The 22,473-nt window shown below is 42.7% G+C and overlaps 1 long non-coding RNA gene across 1 annotated transcript in view; it reads right to left on the bottom strand.

Moving 5' to 3' along the window:
* The window catches only part of LOC105372316 (uncharacterized), a 98,054-nt gene that overhangs the window by 51,004 nt on the left and 24,577 nt on the right, over nt 1–22,473 (bottom strand). The window lies entirely within an intron of this gene.

Raw genomic sequence — 22,473 nt, 5'->3', positions numbered from 1 at the left:
TCTACTACTCCTCAGGGATTATTCAAGCCCACTCCCTTCCCTACACATCAAGCTCGGGGATTTACCCCTGCCCAGGACTGGCAAAGTGACTTTACTCACATGCCCCGAGTCAGGAAATGAAAACACTCCTTGGTATGGGTGGACACTTTCACTGGATGGGTAGAGGCCTTCCCGACAGGGTCTGAGAAGGCCACCATTGTTATTTCTTCCCTTCTGTCAGACATAATTCCTCAGTTTGGCCTTCCCACCTCTATACAGTCTAATAATGGACTAGCCTTTACTAGTCAAATCACCCAAGCAGTTTCTCAGGCTCTTGGTATTCATTGAAACCTCATACCCCTTACTGTCCTCAATCTTCAGGAAAGGTAGAATGGATTAATGGTCTTTTCAGAACATACCTCAGCAAGCTCAGCCTCCAACTTAACAAAAAGGACTCTGTCAAGAATAGAGCCCCAAAACTCACCAACCAAACAAGTAATTACTCTGAACCCCCTTGGACCCTCTCTAATTGGATGTCCTGGGTCCTCCCAATTCTTAGTCCTTTAATACCTGTTTTGCTCCTTCTCTTATTCAGACCTTGTGTCTTTGGTTTAGTTTCTCAATTCATACAAAACTGCATCCAGGCCATCACCAATCATTCTATATGACAAATGCTCTTTTTAATAGCCCCACAATATTGCCCTTACTACAAAATCTTCTTTCAGCTTAATATCTCCCACTCTAGGTTCCCACGCCACCCCTAATCCTGCTTGAAGCGGCCCTGAGAAACATCCCCCATTATCTCTCCATACCACCCCACCAAAATTTTCACTGCCCCAACACTTCAACACTATTTTATGTTATTTTTCTTATTAATATAAGAAGACAAGAATCTCAGGCCTCTGAGCTGAAGCTAAGCGATCATATACCCTGTGACCTGCACATATACACCCAGATGGCCTGAAGTAACTGAAGAATCACAAAAGAAGTGAAAATGGCCTGTTTCTGCCTTAACTAATGAGATTACCTTGTGAAATTCCTTCTCCTGGCTCAGCAGCTCCCCCACTGAGCACCTTGTGACCCCCACCCCTGCCCACCAGAGAACAACCCCCTTTGACTGTAATTTTCCATTACCTACCCAAATCCTACAAAATGGCCCCACCCCTATCTCCCTTTGCTGACTCTCTTTTCGGACTCAGCCAGCCTGCACCCAGGTGATTAAAAAGCTTTATTGCTCACACAAAGCCTGTATGGTGGTCTCTTCACATGGACATGTGTGACAATGCATACACATGTAATCTGATTGGGATACACATGCATTATTTATTTTTCAGTTGAAACTCAAGTTGACTTAAAGAGTACAAGCAGAATTGAAAATTGTCTAAATTTATAATACGTAAGTAAACCCAATAAACACAATAAACTGATGTTAAGAAACCTACACTGAGGCTGGGCTCGGTGGCTTAAGACTGTGCTCCCAGCACTTTAGGAGGCCAAGGCAGGCAGATCACCGAGGACAGGAGTTCAAGACCAGCCTGGCCAATATGGTGAAATGTGGTCTCTAATAATAAGGGAGGAGACCACCCCTCATATTATCTTATGCCCAATTTCTGCTTCCAAAGAAAGAAGAAGTAAAAACTAAAAGGCAGAAATGAAATCCACAAGCAGACAGCCTGGCACCAAAACCTGGGCCTGGTAGTTAAAGATCGACCCCTGACCTAATTGGTTATTTGTATAAGAAAAGCACTGTGAAGATCCCTGTCTTGTTCTGTTCTGTTCTAATTACCAGTGCATGCAGCCCCCAGTCATGTACCCCCTGCTTGTTCAATTGATCATGACCCTCTCATGCAGACCCCCTTAGAGTTGTGACCCCTTAAAAGGGACAGGAATTGCTCACTTGGGGAGCTTGGTTGTTGGAGATGTGAGTCTTGCCAAAGCTCCCGGCCTAATAAAGCCCTTCCTTCTTTAACTTGGTGTCTGAGGGGTTTTGTCTGCAGCTTGTCCTGCTACATTTCTTGGTTCCCTGACTGGGAAGCAGGTGATTAAAGGACCATTGAGACAGCCACTTAGGCAGCTTAGGCCTGCCCTGTGAAGCATCCCTGCAGGGGACTCTGGCCAGCTTGAGCAACGCGGATCCTGAGAGTGCTCCCGGGTAGGCAACTGCGCCAGTGGAATGCCTCACCAGAGCAGTGTGTGGCAGGCCCCCATGGAGGATCACTGCAGTGGCTGAACATCAGGAAGGAACTGGCACTTGGAATCCAGACATCTGAAACTTGGTAAGACTAGTCTTTGGAACTTGCCTACTCCATTTGAGTGGAAGCGTGGCCTGATCACCCATGACGTGCCCATACCAGCACTTAGGTTTTTTGTTTTTGAGTTGAGTTGAATTGCTTGATACTTAGGTTTTGGTTTTGACCTGGCTTGGATTTCTTGATACTCTGATTTTGGTTCTGATTCTGGTTTGGTGTAAACTGAAAAAGTGTGTGTGTGCCCTTTTTACCTGTTTTTGTTTTGTGGTGTGCATGTGGTGTAAGCGCAGTGTTTTGTCTCGAGGAAACATGGGTCAGGCACAAAGTAGGCCCACCCCACTAGGAGCTATGTTGAAAAATTTCAAAAAGGGATTTAAGGGAGACTATGGAGTTACTATGACACCAAGAAAACTTAGAACTTTGTGTGAGTTAGACTGGCCAGCATTAAAGGTGGGTTGGCCATCAGAAGGAAGCCTGAACAGGTCCCTTGTATTGAAGGTATGGCACAGTGTAACCTACAAGCCAGGGCACCCCGATCAGTTCCTGTATAAAGATTCTCGGTTAGAGCTAGTTTTGGACCCCCCACAGTAGTTAAGAGGACAGGCAGCAGCAGTACTAGTAGCAAAGGGACAGTTAGTTAAGGAAGGTTCTCACTCCACCTGCTGAGGGAAGCCGGCACCAAAAGCCCTGTCTGACCCAATACCAGAAGAATCATGGTCAGAATTGCAAGAGGAAGGGCTTCCCACTCCTGAGCCCACAGCACCCACACCTCCACCAGATAGCCACACTCCTAGACCACCCAGAGTAGACAAAAGAGGAAGTGAAGCCACGGGAGAAACTCCTCCCTTGGCAGCTCACTTACGGCCCAAGACTGGAATCCAAATGCCCCTGAGACAGCAGTGATATACTGGGGTAGATGAGGATGGACACATGGTGGAAAGGCGTGACTTTGTGTATCAACCTTTCACCTCTGCTGACCTCATCAATTGGAAAAATAATACTGCTGCTTACACTGAAAAGCCTCAAGCTTTAATTGACTTGCTCCAAACTATTATACACACTCATAATCCTACTTGGGCTGATTGCCACCAGCTGTTCATGTACCTCTTTGATGAAAGGCTAAGGGTGCTCCGGGTGGCAACTAAGTGGCCAGAGGAGCACATCCCAGTGGATTACCAAAATCCCCAAGAATATATAAGAATTCAGCTGCCAGGAACAGACCCCCAATGGGACCTGAACTAGTGACCAGACATGGAGAGGCTAAGACAGTACCATGATGCATGAATAGAAGGTCTAAAGAAAGGGGCTTAAAAGGCTACAAGTGTAAATAAGATCTCTGAGGTCATCCAAGAAAAAGAGGAGAGTCCAGCGCAATTCTATGAAAGACGGTGTGAGGCTTACAGTATGTACACTCATTTTGATCCAGATAGCCCTGAAAATCAGCACATGATCAACATGGCCTTAGTTAGTCAAAGCGTGGAAGATATCAGGAGAAAACTGCAGAAACAGGCTGGGCTTAAGTGTATGAATATCTCACAGTTACTGGAAATAGCCAATCAAGTGTTTGAATAGAGATGCAACAAGCCACAGAGAAAGCCGTAAGGAAGGTGAAAGCCAGGCCAGGCGAAACGCCAACTTACTGGCTGTGGCCATCAGGGGAATTCCCCCAAAAGGAGAGGGAAAGGGGGGTTCTGGGAATAATACCCTGTCTAATCACCCACGCTTGCAATGTAACCAATGCGCCTATTGTAAGAAAATGGGACATTGGAAAAATAAGTGTCCCCAACTGAAGGAAAAGCAACATGATTCAGAACAAAAGACCTCAGATAAAGATGAGGGAGCTTTATTCAATCTGGCTGAAGGGCTATTGGACTGAAGGGGACTGGGCTCAATCACCCCCAAGGAGCCCACGGTCAGGATTACAATTGGGGGCAAAGATATTAAGTTTTTGGTTGATACAGGTGTTGAACATTTGGTATTGACCACCCCGGTCACCCCCTTGTCCAAGAAAACCATTGATATAATCCGAGCAACAGGAGTTTCTACTAAGTAGACTTACTGTCTGCCACGGACCTACTCGGTGGCAAGACATGAAGTAGTTCACCAGTTCTTGTACATGCCTGGCTGTTCCTTGCCCTTGCTGGGAAGAGACTTGCTTAGCAAGCTGACAGCCACCATCTCCTTTACAAAACACGGCTCTTTACAGCTAAAGTTACTGGGAACAGGAGTTATCATTGTCCTTACAGTCCCCTGGGAAGAAGAATGGGAAGAGATACAACCAGCTCTAGCTGAGCGTTGGTCTTGAGAATGGACAGAGGATAATCCTCCAGGACTGGCGGCCAACCAAGCCCCCATACTCATAGAAGTTAAGCCTGGGCCCAACTGATTAGATGAAAGCAGTATCCCTTCCCAGGGAAGCTCTCGAAGGAATCCGGGTTCATCTCAGGTGCTTCAAAGCCTATGGAATTATAGTTCTTTGCCAGTGTCCATGGAACACCCCCCTCCTGCCAGTCCCTAAGCCAGGGACCAAGGACTACCAACCAGTACAGGACTTGCGCTTGGTCAACCAAGCTACAGTGACTCTGCACCCAACAGTTCCTAACCCTTACACGTTGTTAGGGCTGCTGCCGGCTGAGGACATCTGGTTTACCCATCTGGACTTAAAAGATGCCATCTGTAGCATCAGAATAGCTCCTGAGAGCCAGAAGCTGTTTGCGTTTCGGTGGGAAGATCTACAGTCAGGTGTCACTACTCAGTACACTTGGAACTGGCTTCCCCAAGGGTTCAAGAACTCCCTTACTATCTTCGGGGAGGCTCTGACTTGAGACTTGCAAAAGTTTCCTGCTAAAGACCTAAGCTATGTCTTGCTCCTGTACGTGGATGACCTTCTGCTGGGACACTCCATGGCAGTTGGGTGCTCAAAAGGGTTGATGCCCTGTTTCAGCACCTGGAGGACTGTGGGTATAAGGTGCCCAAGAAGAAATCTCAGATCTGCAGACAGCAGGTACGCTACCTGGGATTCACTATTTGGAAAGGGGAGCACAGCCTGTGGTCAGAAAGAAAGCAGGTCATCTGCAGCCTACCGGAACCTAAAACCAGAAGGCAAGTAAGGGAATTCCTGGGAGCTGTGGGGTTTTGCACATTATGGATTCCAAACTTTGCAGTGCTAGCCAAACCTTTGTACGGCATTACAAAGGGGGGCAACTGGGAGCCTTTTGAATGGGGGCCTCTACAACAGCAAGCCTTTTGTAAGTTAAAGGAAAAACTTACATTGGTCCCAGCCCTGGGACTACCAGATTTGACAAAGCCTTTTGCACTCTATGTGTCAGAAAGAGAAACAATGGCAGTTGGAGTTTTAACCCAGACTGTGGGGTCCTGGCCAAGGCCAGTGGCCTATCTCTCAAAACAACTAGATGGGGTCTCCAAAGGCTGGCCACCATGTGTAAGGGCCCTGGCAGCAACAGCCCTGTTAGCACAAGAAGCAGATAAACTAACCCTTGGGCCAAATCTGAATATAAAAGCCCCCATGCTGTGGTAACTTTGATGAACACCAAAGGACACCATTGGCTAACAAATGCTAGATTAACCAAGTACCAAAGCTTGCTATGTGAAAATCCCCACATAAACATTGAAGTCTGTAACACCCTAAATCCCACCACCCTGCTCCCAGTATCAGAGAGCCCAGTCGAGCATAACTGTGTAGAGGTGTTGGACTCAGTTTATTCTAGCAGACCTGACCTTAGGGACCAGCCATGGGCATCAGTAGACTTGGAGTTATATTTGGACGGGAGTAGCTTCATCAACCCACAAGGAGAAAGATGTGCAGAATATGCGGTGGTAACTTTGGATGCTGTCATTGAAACCAAACCATTGCCACAGGGCACTTCAGCCCAGAAGGCTGAGCTCACTGCTTTAACTCGAGCTCTAGAACTCAGTGAAGGTAAGACTGTAAATATCTACATTGACTCTAGACATGCCTTTCTAACCCTCCAAGTGCATGGAGCATTATATAAGGAAAAGGGCCTGTTAAACTCTGGGGGAAAGGACATAAAATATCAACAAGAAATTCTACAATTATTGGAGGCAGTGTGGAAACCTCAGAAGGTGGCAGTCATGCACTGCAGGGAATACCAGTGAGGCTCCACCTCAGTGGCCTTAGGAAACTCCCGAGCTGACTCAGAAGCTCGAAAAGCAGCATCTACCCCATACTAGGCATCAGTAGCAGCCCCCTTACTCCCTCAAATACCTGACCTGGTACCTACCTAAGAAAGAAAAAGACTTCTTCCACACAGAAGGGGGCAAGTAATAAAAGGAGGATGGATCAGACTGCCAGATGGGAGAGTAGCTGTGCTGCAGTTGCTGGGAGCCACAATTGTATTGGCCATGCATGAAACCACTCATCTAGGTCAAGAGTCATTTGAAAAATTGTTAGGCTGGTACTTCTACATCTCACGCTTCCCAGCCCTTGCCAAAGCAGTACCAAACAGTGCGTTACTTGCCGACAGCACAATATGAGGCAATGTCTCACTGTTCTGCCTGGCATACAAGCTTATGTAGCAGCTCCTTTTCAGGATCCTCAGGTGGATTTCACAGAAATGTGCAGGTAACAAGTATTTGCTGGTTCCTGTGTGTACTTACTCTGGGTGGGTGGAGGCTTATCCAAAAAGAACTGAAAAGGCCCCCAAGGTAACCTGTGTGCTTCTCTGAGATCTTATTCCTAGGTTTGGACTGCCCTTATGAATCGGCTCAGATAATGGGCCAGTGTTTGTGGCTGACTTGGTACAGAAGACAGCAAAGGCATTAGGAATCACTTGGAAGCTACATGCCACCTACCGACCTCAGAGTTCCGGAAAGGTCGAGCCAATGATTCGGACTATTAAAAATAGTTTAGGGAAAGTATGTCAGGAAGCAGGATTAAAGTGGATACAGGCCCTTCCTATGGTATTGTTTAAAATTAGATGCACTCCTTCTAAGAAAACAGGATACTCCCCTTATGAAATACTGTATCATAGACCTCCTCCTATACTATGGGGGCTTCCAGGCATTCCCTGAGAGTTAGGTGAAATTGAATTACAGTGACAGCTACAGGCTTTAGGAAAAATTACACAAACAATCTCAACTTGGGTAAATGAGAGATGTCCCATCAGCTTATTCTCCCCAGTTCACCTTTTCTCTCCAGGTGATTGCATTTGGATCAAAGACTGCAACATAGCCCCTTTGAGGCCACGGTGGAAAGGACCTCAGACCGTCATCCTGACCACCCCCACAGCTGTAAAGGTAGAAGGAATCCCAGCCTGGATCCACCACAGCTGTGTGAAACCTGCAGCCGCTGAAACCTGGGAGGCAAAACCGAGCCCGGACACCCCCTACAAAGTGACTCTGAGGAGGACGACAAGCCCTGCTCCAGTCACACCCAGAAGCTGACTGGTCTATGCACGGCCAAAGCATGAGGAGGATCATCGTGGGACTCATCTTCCTTATAATTTGGGCTTGTATAGTAAAAACTTCCACTGATTTTCCCCACATGGAGGACTGCTCTCAGTGTATACATCAGGTTACCGAGGTAGGGCAACAAGTTAAAACAATCTTTCTGTTCTATAGTTACTATGAATGTCTAGGGACTTTAAAAGGAACATGCTTATATAATGGCACTCAGTACAAGGTATGTAGCCCAGGAAAAGACTGGCCAGATGTGTGTTATGACCGTTCTGAGCCTCCCATGTCCACAGTTTTTTAACAAAGATTAAGGACTGAAGTCTGGTGGGGACTCATAAATGATACAAGTAAAGTATTGACCACAACAGAATAAAAAGGGGTGCCCAAACGCATAATCTTGAGATTTGATGCCAGTGCTGTCATTAATAGCAATAAGTTAGGAAGGCAAGGTCGCTCTTTTAGTTGGGAAAAAGGCTATATGACTGAAAAAAAGTACATTTGTCATGAATTAGGATTGTGTGGCAATGAATGTGGATATTGGTCTTGTGTCACTTGGGCAACTTGGATAAAAAATGAAAAGGATCCAGTCCACTTTCAGGAAGGAAAAAATAGCCTTTCCTGTATTAAGGGAAAATGTAACCCCACAGAGCTAGTAATAACAAATCCCCTTGATCCTCACTGGAAAAAAGAGGAGTGTGTGACCTTAGGAATTGACGGGTCTGGATGGGATCCTCAAGTAAATATCTTAGTTTGAGGAGAAGTTTACAAACGCTCTCCTGAGACAGTGTTTCAAACTTCCTATGATGAACTAAATGTACCAGTACCAAAAATTCCCAGAAAAACAAGAAATTTGTTTTTGCAATTATCTGAGCACATAGCCCAGTCTCTCAATAACACTTCATGTTATGTGTGTGGAGGAACTGTAATGGGAGATCATTGGCCATGGGAAGCCCAAGGATTAGTACCTATAGACCCAGTTCCTGTTGAATTCCTGGCTCAAAAGAATCACCCTGATAATTTCTGGGCCCTAAAAGCCTCAATTATTGGACAATATTGCATAGCTAGAGAAGGAAAATAATTCACTCATCCCATAGGACAACTTATTTGTCTGGGACATAAATTGTATAATGGTACCACAAAAACAGTCACTTGGTACAGTTCAAATCACACAGAAAGGAATCCATTTAGTAAATTCCCAAAGTTGCAAACCGTGTAGACCCACCCAGAGTCCCACCAGGACTGGACAGCCCCCACTGGATTATACTGGATATGTGGGCATAGAGCTTATGCCAAATTACCCAACCAGTGGGCAGGTAGTTGTGTTATTGGCACTATTAAACAATCTTTCTTCCTATTGCCCATAAAGACAGGTGAACTCCTGGCTTCCCTGTCTATGCTTCTCATGAAAAGAGAAGCATAGCCATAGGGAATTGGCAAGATGATGAATGGCTCCCTGAGAGAATCACACAATATTATGGGCCTGCTACTTGGGCACAATACGGCTCGTGGGGATACTACAACCCCATTTACATGCTCAACCAAATGATATGGTTACAAGCTGTCTTAGAAATAACCACTAATAAAACTGGCAGAGCCTTGACTATTCTGGCCTGGCAAGAAACTCAGATGAGAAATCCTACCTATCAAGATAGATTGGCTCTCGACTACTTACTAGCAGCTGAAGGAGGGGTCTGTGGGAAATTTAACCTTACTAATTGAGGTCTACACATAGATGACCAAGGGCAAGTAATTGAAGACATAGTTAGAGATATGACAAAACTGGCACATGTGCCTGTGCAAATGTGGCATGGATTTGATCCTGGTGCCAAGTTTAGAAAATGGTTTCCAGTGCTAGGAGCATTTAAAACTGTTATAATAAGAGTTATAATAGTAATAGGAACCTGCTTACTGCTCCCTTGTTTGCTACCTGTACTTTTTCAAATGATAAAAAGCTTCACTGCTACCTTAGTTCACCAAAATGTTTCAGCACAAGTGTACTATTTGAATCACTATCGATCTGCCTTGTAAGAAGACACGGGTAGCCAGAATGAAAGTGAGAACTCCCACTACTGAGATTCTCAAAGGGGGGGAATAGGGAGGAGACCACCCCTCATATTGTCTTATGCCCAATTTCTGCCTCCAAAGAAAGCAGTAAAAACTAAAAAGCAGAAATGAAATCCATAAGCAGACAACCCTGACCTAATCAGTTATTTGTACAAGAAAAGCACTGTGAAGATCCCTGTCCTATTCTGTTCCATTCTAATCACCAGTGCATGCAGCCTCCAGTCACATACCCCTGCTTGCTCAATTGATCACAGCCCTCTCACATGGACCCCATTAGAGTTGCAAGCCCTTAAAAGGGACAGGAATTCCTCACTTGGGGAGCTCAGTTGTTGGAGACGTGAGTCTTGCCAAAGCTCCTGGCCGAATAAAGCCCTTTCTTCTCTAACTTGGTGTCTGAAGGGTTTTGTCTGCAGCTTGTCCTGCTACAATAATAATGCACAAATTAGCTGGGCTTGCATGCATCTGTATTCTCAGCTACTTTGGAGGCTGAGGCAGAAGAATGGGTTGAACTCGGAAGGCAGAGGTTGCAGTGATTTGAGATTGTGCCAGTAAACTTTAGCCTGGGTGACAGAGCGAGACTTTATCTCAAAACAAAAAAAAAAGTAACCTACCCTGAAAAAACTCACTAACATAGCGTTGGGGGAAGTCAGGGACCCCAAATGGAGGGACCGGCTGGAGTTGCAGCACAGGAACATAAACTGTGAAGATTTCATTTTAATATGGACATTTATCACTTCCCAAATAATACCTCCATAATTTCTTATGCCTAGCTTTATTTTAATCTCTTAATCCTGTTATCTTCATTAGCTGAGGCTGTACATCACCCCAGGACCAGTATGATAATTGTGTTAACAGTACAAATTGATTGTAAAACATGTGTGTTTGAACAATATGCAATCAGTGCACCTTGAAAAAGAACAGAATAACGTGGTTTTTAGGGAACAAGGAAAGACAACCATAAGGTCTGACTGCCTGTGGGGTTGGGCAAAAAGAGCCATATTTTTCTTCTTGCAGAGAGCCTATAAACGGATGTGCAAGTAGGGAAGATATCACTAAATTCTTTTCCTAGCAAGGAATACTGATATTAATACTCTGGGAAAGGAATTCATTCCTGGGGGGAGGTCTATAAATGGCCTCTTTGGGAATGTCTGTCCTATGCAGTTGAGATAAGGACTGAGATATGCTCTGATCTCCCACAGTACCCTCAGGATTACTAGGATTGGGAAACTACACCCTGGTAAATTTTTGGTCAGACCGGTTCTCTGCTCTCAAATCCTGTTTTCTGTTAAGATGTTTATCAAGAAAATACATGCACTACAGAACATAGACCCTTATCAGGAGTTCTGATTTTGCCCTTGTCCTGTTCCCTTAGAAACATGTGATCTTTGTTCTGCTTTTTGCCCCTTGAAGCATGCGACCTACTCCCTGTTCATACACCCCCTCTCCTTTTAAAATCCTTAATAAAAACTTGCTGGTTTTAAGGCTCAGGTGGGCATCACGGTCCTACTGATATATGATGTCACCCCTGGTGTCCCAGCTGTAAAATTCCTCTCTTTGTACTCTTTCTCTTTATTTCTCAGCCGGCCGACACTTATGGAAAATAGAAAGAACATATGTTGAAGTATTGGGGGTGGTTTTCCCCAATAACTGGTGTGCCAATGTTGTTTTCTTTTTCCTAAGTGCATGTGGGAACCTGATTCCCTTTGGTAGGTGTGGAGGAATGTTCATTGGTCCAGTCCACAGAAATGCTTGTTTGACTCCCTGACGATTGGTGAGTTGTCTGTGTATTGTCTGCGGTAACTATGGGTCACATGGAGTCTAAACATTTTGCTTATCTCTGCTATATTAAACTCCTGTTAAAACTTGGTGGAGTTCTGGTGCCCAAGGAAAATATGGTCACCCTATTCAGGGCAGTGGAAGAATACTGTCCTTGGTTTCCTGAAAAGGGAACGTTAGATGTGGAACTATGGGATCATGTTGGTGCAAAATTCTGGGAACTGGTCCTGACAGGAAATTATGTTGCCATCACTGTTTGGGGTGATTGGGACTTGGTACCTGGTGTCCTAATGACATACCAATCCCGTGTCCCCTGCAGTTACCACAATTTTCTAAATCTGGCAACCCTCTACCTCTTCCTCAGCTTTCCTCTCCCACTCGGCCTTCATTATCTGCTCAGCCTCTCCCTTTGCCTACTCCTCCCTGACCTGACAATGTTGAGAATTCAATATCTAACTCCAGTGACTTTGGCTTAACATCTCCCCTGATGATCTTATTTCTTTTCATGAAGAGCCGGTACTTGTAGCTCCCGTGGCCCCAACTTGGACAGCCAGGACCATATCTATGCTAACTCTTCCCTCTTCAAACGTTTGCAGGCTTTGCCTCCGGAGACCCCTAATGGCTCCAGGACCAAACTATAATTTACCTGTAATTCTGTAGGCCCTCCCCCATCCACCACAGCTCCTCACCCTCCTGTCATTTTGGTCCCTCAATCAGTCACTTTGCCATCCACTCAGCCTGCTTCTCTATACGCTTCTTCATGCAAGGACACTCCTGCCACTCTAGTTGCACAGGACTGGGACAATAATCACCAGTATGCTTCTGCCTCTTGTGCTCCCCCAATGCCCCTTTCTCACACTCTCATACCAGTCTGACCTCCTCAACCTCAGTTTCTCTTATCTGCACATACTTTTCCTGTCACTTCTATGCCAACTCCGTCTCATGTGCCTGTTCTTGAAACTTTAATGCAACACTTATTACACCAGAACAAAGAAACAAGTGGATTAGAGATGTAGGCTTATCCGGTCATGCTGGAACCTCCTGATGCTCAAGGGGTACAAGTGCTTTGGTATGCACTGCTCAATCTTACCTTTTTAAAAGAATTCAAGGATCTCTTTATTCAGTATGGTCCTAGTTCTCCATATGTTAAAATGGTATTACAGACTCTTTGTACTGAGGTCATTTTGCTTCTTTTAGACTGGGACTTTTTGGCAAAAGCTGTTCTAACTGCATCTCAGCATTTACAATTCTGTACCTGGTGGTCAGAGGAGGCCCGTCTGCAGGCTCAACTAAATTGGGCTGATGGCATTCTAATTACTCAGGCTCAGCTCACAGGCTCTGATAATTACTCTGACACTAGCGTTCAATTAGGCTTTGATGCTCTCACCATGGAACAAGTAACGAAGTTGTGTATGAGAGTTTGGGATAAATTACACACCCCAGGCCAAGCTCCTGTTTCATTTACTAGTGTTAAACAAGGTCAGAATTATACCCTCATTTTTTTGGCTAAATTACAAGATGCTGTTGAAAAATCTGTCTCTCATGAGCATGCTCAAGGTATTCTCCTTCATATGTTAGCTTTTGAGAATGTGAACCATGAATGTAAAATTGCCATGTGTTCCATCCAAAGACAAAATTTTCCTGATCATGAGGTGTTGCCTGCATATATTAAAGCTTGGGAAGGCATTGGATCAGAGACCCACAAAGCTATTCTGTGGGCACAGGCCATGAAGGATGGCAGTCAAACTGTCTCAACTTATTCTTTTCTTGGAGCCTGTTAAAAACTTAAAAGCAGCCAAGCTGGCTCAACAAACACAGTCAAATTCTCCTACTACTGTTTGCCCATGTTGTCTAAAGATAAACACTGGGCAAGTACTTGCCCCTCTAAGTCTGATATAGATGCAAATCCCTTGCCACAGAACCAGGGAAATGGGAAGTGGGGCCAGTCCCAGACCCCAATATCAAATGGGACACCTCAGACTCAGACCAATGTTGCATTTCCACTTCAAGTGGTCCCAACGTAGCCCCCAGCACAAACAAATTTACCTACAGCCAACCCAGATGGGTCCCATCCTCTTCTTCTATCTCAGTACAGTGCTTGTCTACCTCCACAGTAGGGGTCAGGGGGGTCGATCTCTGTATTACCATTCCTCTAAATTTACTACCTAATTCTTTGCCTTTAATTGTCCCCAGAGGGGTCACTGGCCCTTTATCTCAAGGTTCGGTGGGCCTGGTGTTATGTAGGATGTAGGGTATCCACCTCTGCTAAAGGTATCATAGTTCATACTTGTCTCATTAATTCTGATTCCTCTGATGAGATTAAACTTATGGTGTCTGCCAAGGTTCCTGTTTCCATTCCGGCCAGTGAGTCAATTGCTCAATTACTTTCACTACCTAATATTGTTTAAACAAAGGAGATAAGACACGGGGCCCTGGGATGGGCTCTGGTGGTGAAAAAGCCACTTATTTGATTAACGTAATTTCTAAACAATGGCCCACCTGCACCATACGCCTTCAAGGAAAAAAGTTTGAGGGCCTAGTAGATACTGGGGCTGACATTTCTAATATTTCCTCTAATTTATGGCCTTCCTCTTGACTTAAACATCCCACTAACATGGGACTAGTAGGTGTTGGAAAAGCTGATGAAGTTCACCAGAGCACATTTATCTTGCCTTGCATTGGCCCTGATGGTCAAAAGGGTGCAATTCAGCCTTATATCATGCCAATCCCCATTAATCTTTGGGGTAGAGATTTGTTGGCACAAGGGGGAGCTGAAATTAATATTCAGCATAACTCTTATAGTGCTCCCAGTCAACATATAATGGAAAACATGGGGTTTGTTCCCAGACTCGGTTTCAGTCCAAAACATGAAGGAATTGCTAAACCTCTTCAAGTTACTGTAAAAGAAGACAGCGCTGGTTTAGGTTCTCCTTTTTAATGGCGGCCACTGCCATGCCTCCTAATCCTATTCCTTTACAATGAAAATCTAAAACACCTGTTTGGATTGATCAGTGGCCACTCTCTAAAAAAAACTGGAGGCTTCAACTCAATTGGTTTCTGAACAGTTACAACTTGGAAATGTGGAATCTTCTCTTTCCCCCTGGAGTTCTCCTGTGTTTCTAGTAAAAAAGAAATCAGGCAAGTGGTGGATGGTAACTGATTTAAGGTCCATTAATGCTGTAATTAAACCTATGGGAGCCATCCAACCTGGCATGCCTGCCCCTGCTTTAATACCTAAGAATTTCCTCTCATAGTTATTGATCTTAAAGTATTTTTATTGCTTTACATAAATTGGATTGTGAAAAATTTGCCTTTACTGTACCATCTATCAATAATCAGGAGCCTGTAGCTCATTATCAATGGAGAGTACTTCCTCAGGGAATGCTGAATAGCCCTACCATCTGCCAGCTTTATGTTGGATGGGTGCTTTCACCAGTGTGAGCTCAATTTCCCCAGGCCTATATTCTTCATTATATTGATGATATATTAATTGCTGCCCCCACTGATAAAGAATTAATTGACTGTTATCAATTTTTGAGCCACCATGTCACTGAGGCTGGATTACACATCACTCAAGATAAAATTCAAAAGACCACTCCTGCTCAATATTTAGGAATGGTGGTCAATAAAGAATATATTCAACCTCAAAAAGTTCAGATTAAGAGAGATTCTTTGAAAACCTTAAATGATTTCCAAAAACTTTTGGGTAACATTAATTATTTAAGATCTACCTTAGGCATTCCAAAATATGCACTGTCTAACTTGTTTTCTATACTGTGTGGAGATTCCAATCTCCACAGTCTCAGGACTTTGACCCCTGAGGCTTCACTGGAACGGTAATTCATGGAAGAAAGAATCCAAACTGCCCTGTTGTCTAGGGTACAGCCATCTCAGCCTTTTCAGCTTCTGGTTTTTGCTTCATTGCACTCCCCTACTGGGCTAATTGTTCAACATAATGATTTAGTGGAGTGGTGTTTTCTTCCTCATTCTGTGTCAAAAACTTTGTCTGTTTATCTGGACCAAATAGCCAATCTAATTGGACAAGCTTGGTGTAGATCACTTAAAATTTCTGGATTTGATCCAAATCTATTGTGGTTCCTTTAAATCGGCTTAAAGTTCAGGCTGCTTTTCAACATTCCATACTGTGGCAAATTCACTTGACTGATTTTATCTGTGTTATTGTCAATCATTATCAAAAAAATTGTTTGATTTTATAAAAATGACTTATTGGGTGGTCCCTCAATAGACCAAAGATCAGCCCATTCCTGAGGCTGTTACAGTGTTCACTGATGGCTCCAGTAACGGAAATGCTGGTTATCTGTGTCCTGCAGACAAGCTTATTTCTACGCCTCACACATCTGCTCAAAAGGCAGAGTTAATTGCTGTAATTATTGCCTTACAGGATTTCCCCAAACTGTTAAATATTGTCTCTGATTCTGTTTATGTTGTACATGCCACTAAAAATATAGAAATCGCTACTATCAAACATATTGATAATTCTGAATTGGCTTTTTTTATTTTCAAGTTTACAACAGGTGGTTCGCCAGTGTAGACACCCTTTCTATACTACACATATCAGATCTCATACCACTTTACTGGGACCCATGCCTGCTGGTAATCAAAAGGTTGACCGGTCTCTTTTGCAAACCAAGAAGCTCAGAGTTCCATAATCTCACTCATGTCAATGCTACTGGATTAAAATATAAATTTGCTCTCACCTGGAAAGAGGCTAAGCTTATTATCCACTGCTGCCCTCAGTGCCAAGTTTTTGTACTTCCAAATCAGGAATCTGGCATTAATCCCAGAGGCCTAACTCCTAATGACTTATGGCAAATGCATGTGACTCATGTTAGCTCCTTTGGCAGACTTTCATATATGCATGTTTCTGTAGACATCTTTTCAGGCTTTATCTGGGCTACTTGCCAAACAGGGGAAGGCACTGCCCATGTTAAAAGACATAAGTATTCTTGCTTTGTAGTTATGGGGCTTCCATGTCAGATAAAAACAGACAACACCCCTGGATATGTAAGTCTTTTGATTTATTTATGCAACAAGGGGAATTTCCCATACTACCGGAATCCCTTACAATCCTCAGGGACAGACTGTGGTGGAACAGGCCAATTGCACTTTAAAAACTCAATTGTCCAAACAGTCTGAGCAACAAAAGCATAATTTAACCACTCCCCACTCCCAATTACATTTAGCATTGTTTACTTTAAACTTTCTAAATGTTCCTAAAGACAACTCTGACTGCAGCTGAATGCCATTATACAGGCAAAAAATTCTCCCTAAATGAAGGCAAGCCAGTGTTACGGAAAAACTCCCAAACCAATACCTGGGAACCTGGAACAATTATAACATGGGGAAGAGGGTATGCTTGTGTTTCACCAGGAGATCAATCCCCTGTCTGGGTGCCCACTGAGAGACTCAAACTTCGTGTGAATAGTGACAAAGAAAGCCACAGGGAAAAGACATCCAAGTCAGAGACCGCCTTCATACCTGGTGAGATCTCTGCCGACTTCTCAAAAACTGGCATGCCAAATCAAAATGGGTCTGGTTCAATCCTCCCTAATGGCAACGGAGACCCCTCTAATTAATGCCACTTCTAAACCTAAAAATCTCACCATTTCTATTAGCCTGAAAATAACATCCCTCTGTTCTTCTCTTCCTCCTTCAGCACAGGATCTTGCTTACAATAGGTTTTATTTAATAATTCTTCTTAAACTTTCTGTCTCATCAGTTTCCCCTCAAAATGATTTACCTGCTACACAAAATTATTCTTATTGGGCTTATGTGCCTTTTCTTCCACTTATTCGACCTCTCACCTGGATGAATGCTCCTGCAGAAATCTATACTAATGATAGTGTGTGGATACATGGAGCTACAGATGACCATTGCCCCACTCAACCAGGAGAAGAAAGCACTGAATTTAATGTTACCATGGGTTATAAATACCCTCCTCTGTGCCTTGGACATGCACATGTAGATGGTTGTATTCATCTACAAGCTCAAATCTGGGCTGCTTATCTTCCGGAGAGATTAGCTACAAGAGAACAGGGACATTTGATCTCCAGCCTCTCTCTTTCTCCTTTAAGACAAATGAAAGGGGGAGTAATAGGAGATACCCCAAACTTTCAATATAAACCTGTAGGAAAACCATGTCCTAAAAATTTTGAGGGCCCATCTAAAATTTTAATTTGGGAAGACTGTGTTAACTCACATGTAGTAGTACTAAAAAATGACGCATATGGTTTAGTAATAGGATGGGCACCAAAGGGCTATTTAAAAAACAATTGCTCCTCTGGTGGAAGGGAATGCCTGGAGGCTACTTATTTTATTTCTTATTGGGAGGACGAGGATCATCGTTCTACTTTACATAGGAAGTTCAGCTCATTCTTTCCCTTAAAATGGGAAGATAAGGGCATTACCCCTCCGAGGCCTCATATGATATTCCCCATTCTGAGCCTGGAACACTCAGAACTTTGGAAATTGGCTATTGCCATGTCTGGACTGTGAGTATGGGAAGGGTAAACTTTTCTGTCTGTTATCCCCACTACTGCCCCTTGCATCCATGACTCTGAACCCCATGATAAATCCCCTTTGAACCCTTTTCCTCTTTTTGATGCTGATCCTCCTTTATGGGACTCCAATTGGCATTATGATAATTCTTCTTGACCCAGGTATGCCCCTCTACTTCCTCAGCATCCCTGGGCACCTCGGATTGCTTCTTTATGGCAGACAACATTGGGCGTTGCCACCACCTCTACTCTCCCTCAGTATCAATGTTCTGCTTTGTTTACCTCCAGCCTGACTATTCCTATACAAAGTTGTGTTAAGCCTCCTTACGTGCTGTTAGTGGGAAATATCAAAATTTGGACACACAAACTGTCCAATGCATTAATTGTCATTTATACACTTGTGTTAACTCCCATTTTGACTCCAGGAGAAGTGTAATGTGGCTTCGAGCTCGAGAAGGAATCTGGATTCGGTAACTTTACCCAGACACTGGGAATCTTCCCTCTCAGTACATTTAATGAATGAAGTGTTACAAAGAATTCTCAAAAAATCTAAGAGATTTGTTTTCACTTTAATCACTGTGATCATGGGCCTATTTATAGTCACTGCACTGGCCACTACTGCCGGAGTGGCATTACACCAATCTATTCAAACGGCCCATTTTGTTAATCTTTGGCAAGCAAATTCCAACCAAATGTGGAATTCTCAACAAGGCATTGATCAAAAATTATCTAATCAAATTAATGATTTAAGACAATCTATACTTTGGCTTGGAGATCAGCTAGTGACTCTTGAACATTGCATGCGATGTTGGTACATTTATATAAAAAGAAAGGGAGAGATATTGTGGGAAGTCAGGGATGCCAAACAGAGGGACCAGCTGGAGTCGCAGCAGAGGAACATAAATTGTGAAGATTTCATTTTAATATGGACATCTATCACTTCCCAAATAATATGTTCATAATTTCTTATGCCTGTCTTTATTTTAATCTCTTAATCCTGTTATCTTCATTAGCTGAGGATGTACATCACCTCAGGACCAGTATGATAATTGTGTTAACTGTACAAATTGATTGTAAAACATGTATGTTTGAACAATATGCAATCAGTGCACCTTGAAAACAGAATAACAGCGATTTTTAGGGAACAAGGGAAGACAACCATAAGGTCTGACTGCCTGTGGGGTTGGGCAAAAAGAGCCATATTTTTCTTCTTGCAGAGAGCCTATAAATGGGTGTGCAAGTAGGGAAGATATCACTAAATTCTTTTCCTAGCAAGGAATACTGATATTAATACTCTGGGAAAGGAATTCATTCCTGGGGGGAGGTCTATGAATGGCCACTCTGGGAATGTCTGTCCTATGTGGTTGAGATAATGACTGAGATATGCCCTGGTCTCCCGCAGTACCCTCAGGATTACTAGGATTGGGAAACTACACCCTGGTAAATTTTTGGTCAGACCAGTTCTCTGCTCTCGAACCCTTTTTTTCTGTTAAGATGTTTATTAAGACAATACGTGCACTGCTGAACATAGACCCTTATCAGGAGTTCTGATTTTGCTCTGGTCCTGTTTTAGAAGCATGTGATCTTTGTTCTGCTTTTTGCCCCTTGAAGCACGTGACCTACTCCCTGTTCATACACTCCCTCCCCTTTTAAAATCCTTAATAAAAACTTGCTGGTTTTAAGGTTCAGGTGGGCATCGTGGTCCTACCGATATGTGATATCACCCCTGGTGGCCCAGCTGTAAAATTCCTCTCTTTGTACTCTTTCTCTTTATTTTTCAACCAGCTGACACTTATGGAAAATAGAAAGAACATACATTGAAATATTGGGGGCGGGACCCCTGATACACAGAACTTCAAAACAATAATAAGAGAAATATTTACTCACAAAATCTGGTATGCCACATTGATGTATCATCAAAAAAAAATTGTCAGGCAGGTGCAGTGGCTCATGCCTGTAATCTCAGCACTTTGGGAGGCAGAGGGGGGCAGATTACCTGAGGTGAGGAGTTTAAAAGCAGCCTAGCCAATGTGGTGAAACCCAAAATCTACTAAAAATACAAAAATTAGCCAGGCATAGTGGCACATCCCTGTAATCCCAGCTACTTGGGAGGCTGAGGCATGAGAATTGCTTGAACCCAGGAGATGAAGGTTGCAGTGAGCCAAGATCACACTATTGCACTCCAGCCTGGGTAAGAGAGGTAACTCTTTCTCAAAAAAAAAAAAAAAAAAAAAAAAATTGTGTAGGTAACTGTGATATTCAACTGCTACTATGTAATCATCATATACCTGTATTTTGAATCATTGGCATGCACTGTGTGGCACTAAAATTTCAGAAAATATGCAGTATAATTATAAATAGAAGACTCCAATGACAAACTTTTAATAAATTAGCATTTAAAAGAAACTAGAGTTGCTTTTTGTTTTAAATATATGCTATTCTTACACAAAATGAAACTGCTGTATTCCAACTTTAAAAGCAAATAATAACCTTCCATTGTTAAATATAGAAAAATATATATATATTTTGTAGAATAGGGTTAGATCCTCTGATATGTAAAACAAATATTAGGAAATGAACTATGTTATTATTTAGATATAGGCTGAAAATAGTAGACGAAAATCCTATAATTCCTTTTTGCCCGGAGCAAACATAAATTTATAAGTAACTATTTTAGTAAATATGGGGTGCCTACTAATATCTCATTTACTTCAGGTATACCATGCAAATTCTAGCATATGTGCTAAATGACTGAATCCAAAATTATAGACAAATTTGAAATAGAAAATAAAAAGTAAAAATGTAAAAGGACAGTGACATCAGTAAGATGAAAAGATTAAAAGTGCCCTATTTTCATATTCCCTTATGGCATAAAAAGTCAGCCACCCCTGACAAAAATGCCTTTATGAGAGAACCAGGATTATGGCTTACACCTGTAATGACAGCTACATGGTACGTTAAGGTTGGAGAACTAGTTCAGGCCAGGATTTTGAGACCAGCCTGGGTTATGTAGCAAGACACCATCTCCAAAATAAGTACCTCTAAGAGAGATTTGACATCCAGGGATGCAGTTGTGAAATGCTGTTAAAGCTTATGTTTGAGAAGTGTTCTATTCAGAAGGCAGGCCCTCACTCACGTGGGATACTACAGGACCCCTGTTTTAGCTACAGACCAGGATAGGGTTCACCCAACTTGGTTCCATTGAGAATTCTAAACTTACTCTGTAACCATCCCAAACTCCTCCCAGCCACAGTCTGACAGAGGTCCTGCTATTCCAGAGACTTGGAGGAAGGTGCCCATTTACAGTCATGCATCCAGGCATGCAGACCTTGGCCTTTACTGGGGTCACTGAGGCAGTTCCATGACTCAGTTTCAGTTACCTGAGCCACAGTTTATGGTCAGTTCTGCCTATATAGTAACCCACACGGTTACCTGAGGAAATGCTCTCTGGTACTCACTGAAAGCCACACCCATCCACATCCTGATACAAGGCCCACCATATGCAGAGCCAATTGCAAAAACATGCCCTAGTGTCTGCCTTATGGAGCAAAGCTCTGAAGGATATTCAGTCTGTCCAAAAATAAAATGGGAATTATAACAACCCAAGCCCCTGTAACAAGCCAACTAAAGGTGGACCCTAATGCAGACCCAGCAGCCTGGTGACCAAGCTACAACCCTTCTTCACTACAAATTCAGAGGGCATCTCATCACCCTAAGGGTCCAACAGAAGAAGATATTTACCTTCTGAAATCAGTTTATGAAAACTTGAATAGGTCTTTGCTCCATCAAATTCAGACACCAATGCAAAACTATATTGTGCCCATTGTGAATGCTTCTATTTTAGTGTAACACTGGAAGTATGTGGCAGAAGATTTACTCAAAGAAATAAAAAAAAATCCATTAAAATTTAAGAAAACTAAAAAGTTTTTGCTTGTAGATCATACAATATTATATTTAAAAACTAATAAACAGTACATTAAATCCTATCTAAACTAATAAATACACTCAGTAAATTACAAAATATGAAACTAACATACAAGTATATGTACGGTTTTATACACTTAAATCAAACTATCTGATAAAAATAGGACAAAAAAATCTTATTTGTTATAGCATTAAATAATTTCTGAGAAAAAAATTAACCAATGAAATGAAAAACCTTTACCAAAAAAAATCAGTGAAAGAAATTAGAGAAGTTCCAAATAAATTATAAAGTATTTTATGTCTATGGATTGAAAGAATAAATATTATTAGAGTTCCATATTATCTAAAGTGATCTATAGATTCAATAAACTTCCTATTAAAATTGCAGTGGTGTCTTTTTCAGTAATGAAAAATACAATTCTAAAATTTACATGAAACTAAAATAAACTGATTAGCCAAAGCAATCTTGATGAAAAGAACAGAGCAGAAGGATATCATACTTATACTTTCCAACTATATTTCAACAC

This window comes from Homo sapiens, chromosome 19 (genome assembly GCF_000001405.40).
Source record: "Homo sapiens chromosome 19, GRCh38.p14 Primary Assembly".
NCBI classification, from domain to species: Eukaryota; Metazoa; Chordata; class Mammalia; order Primates; family Hominidae; genus Homo; species Homo sapiens.
This window is presented reverse-complemented; position numbering and strand designations above follow the sequence as displayed.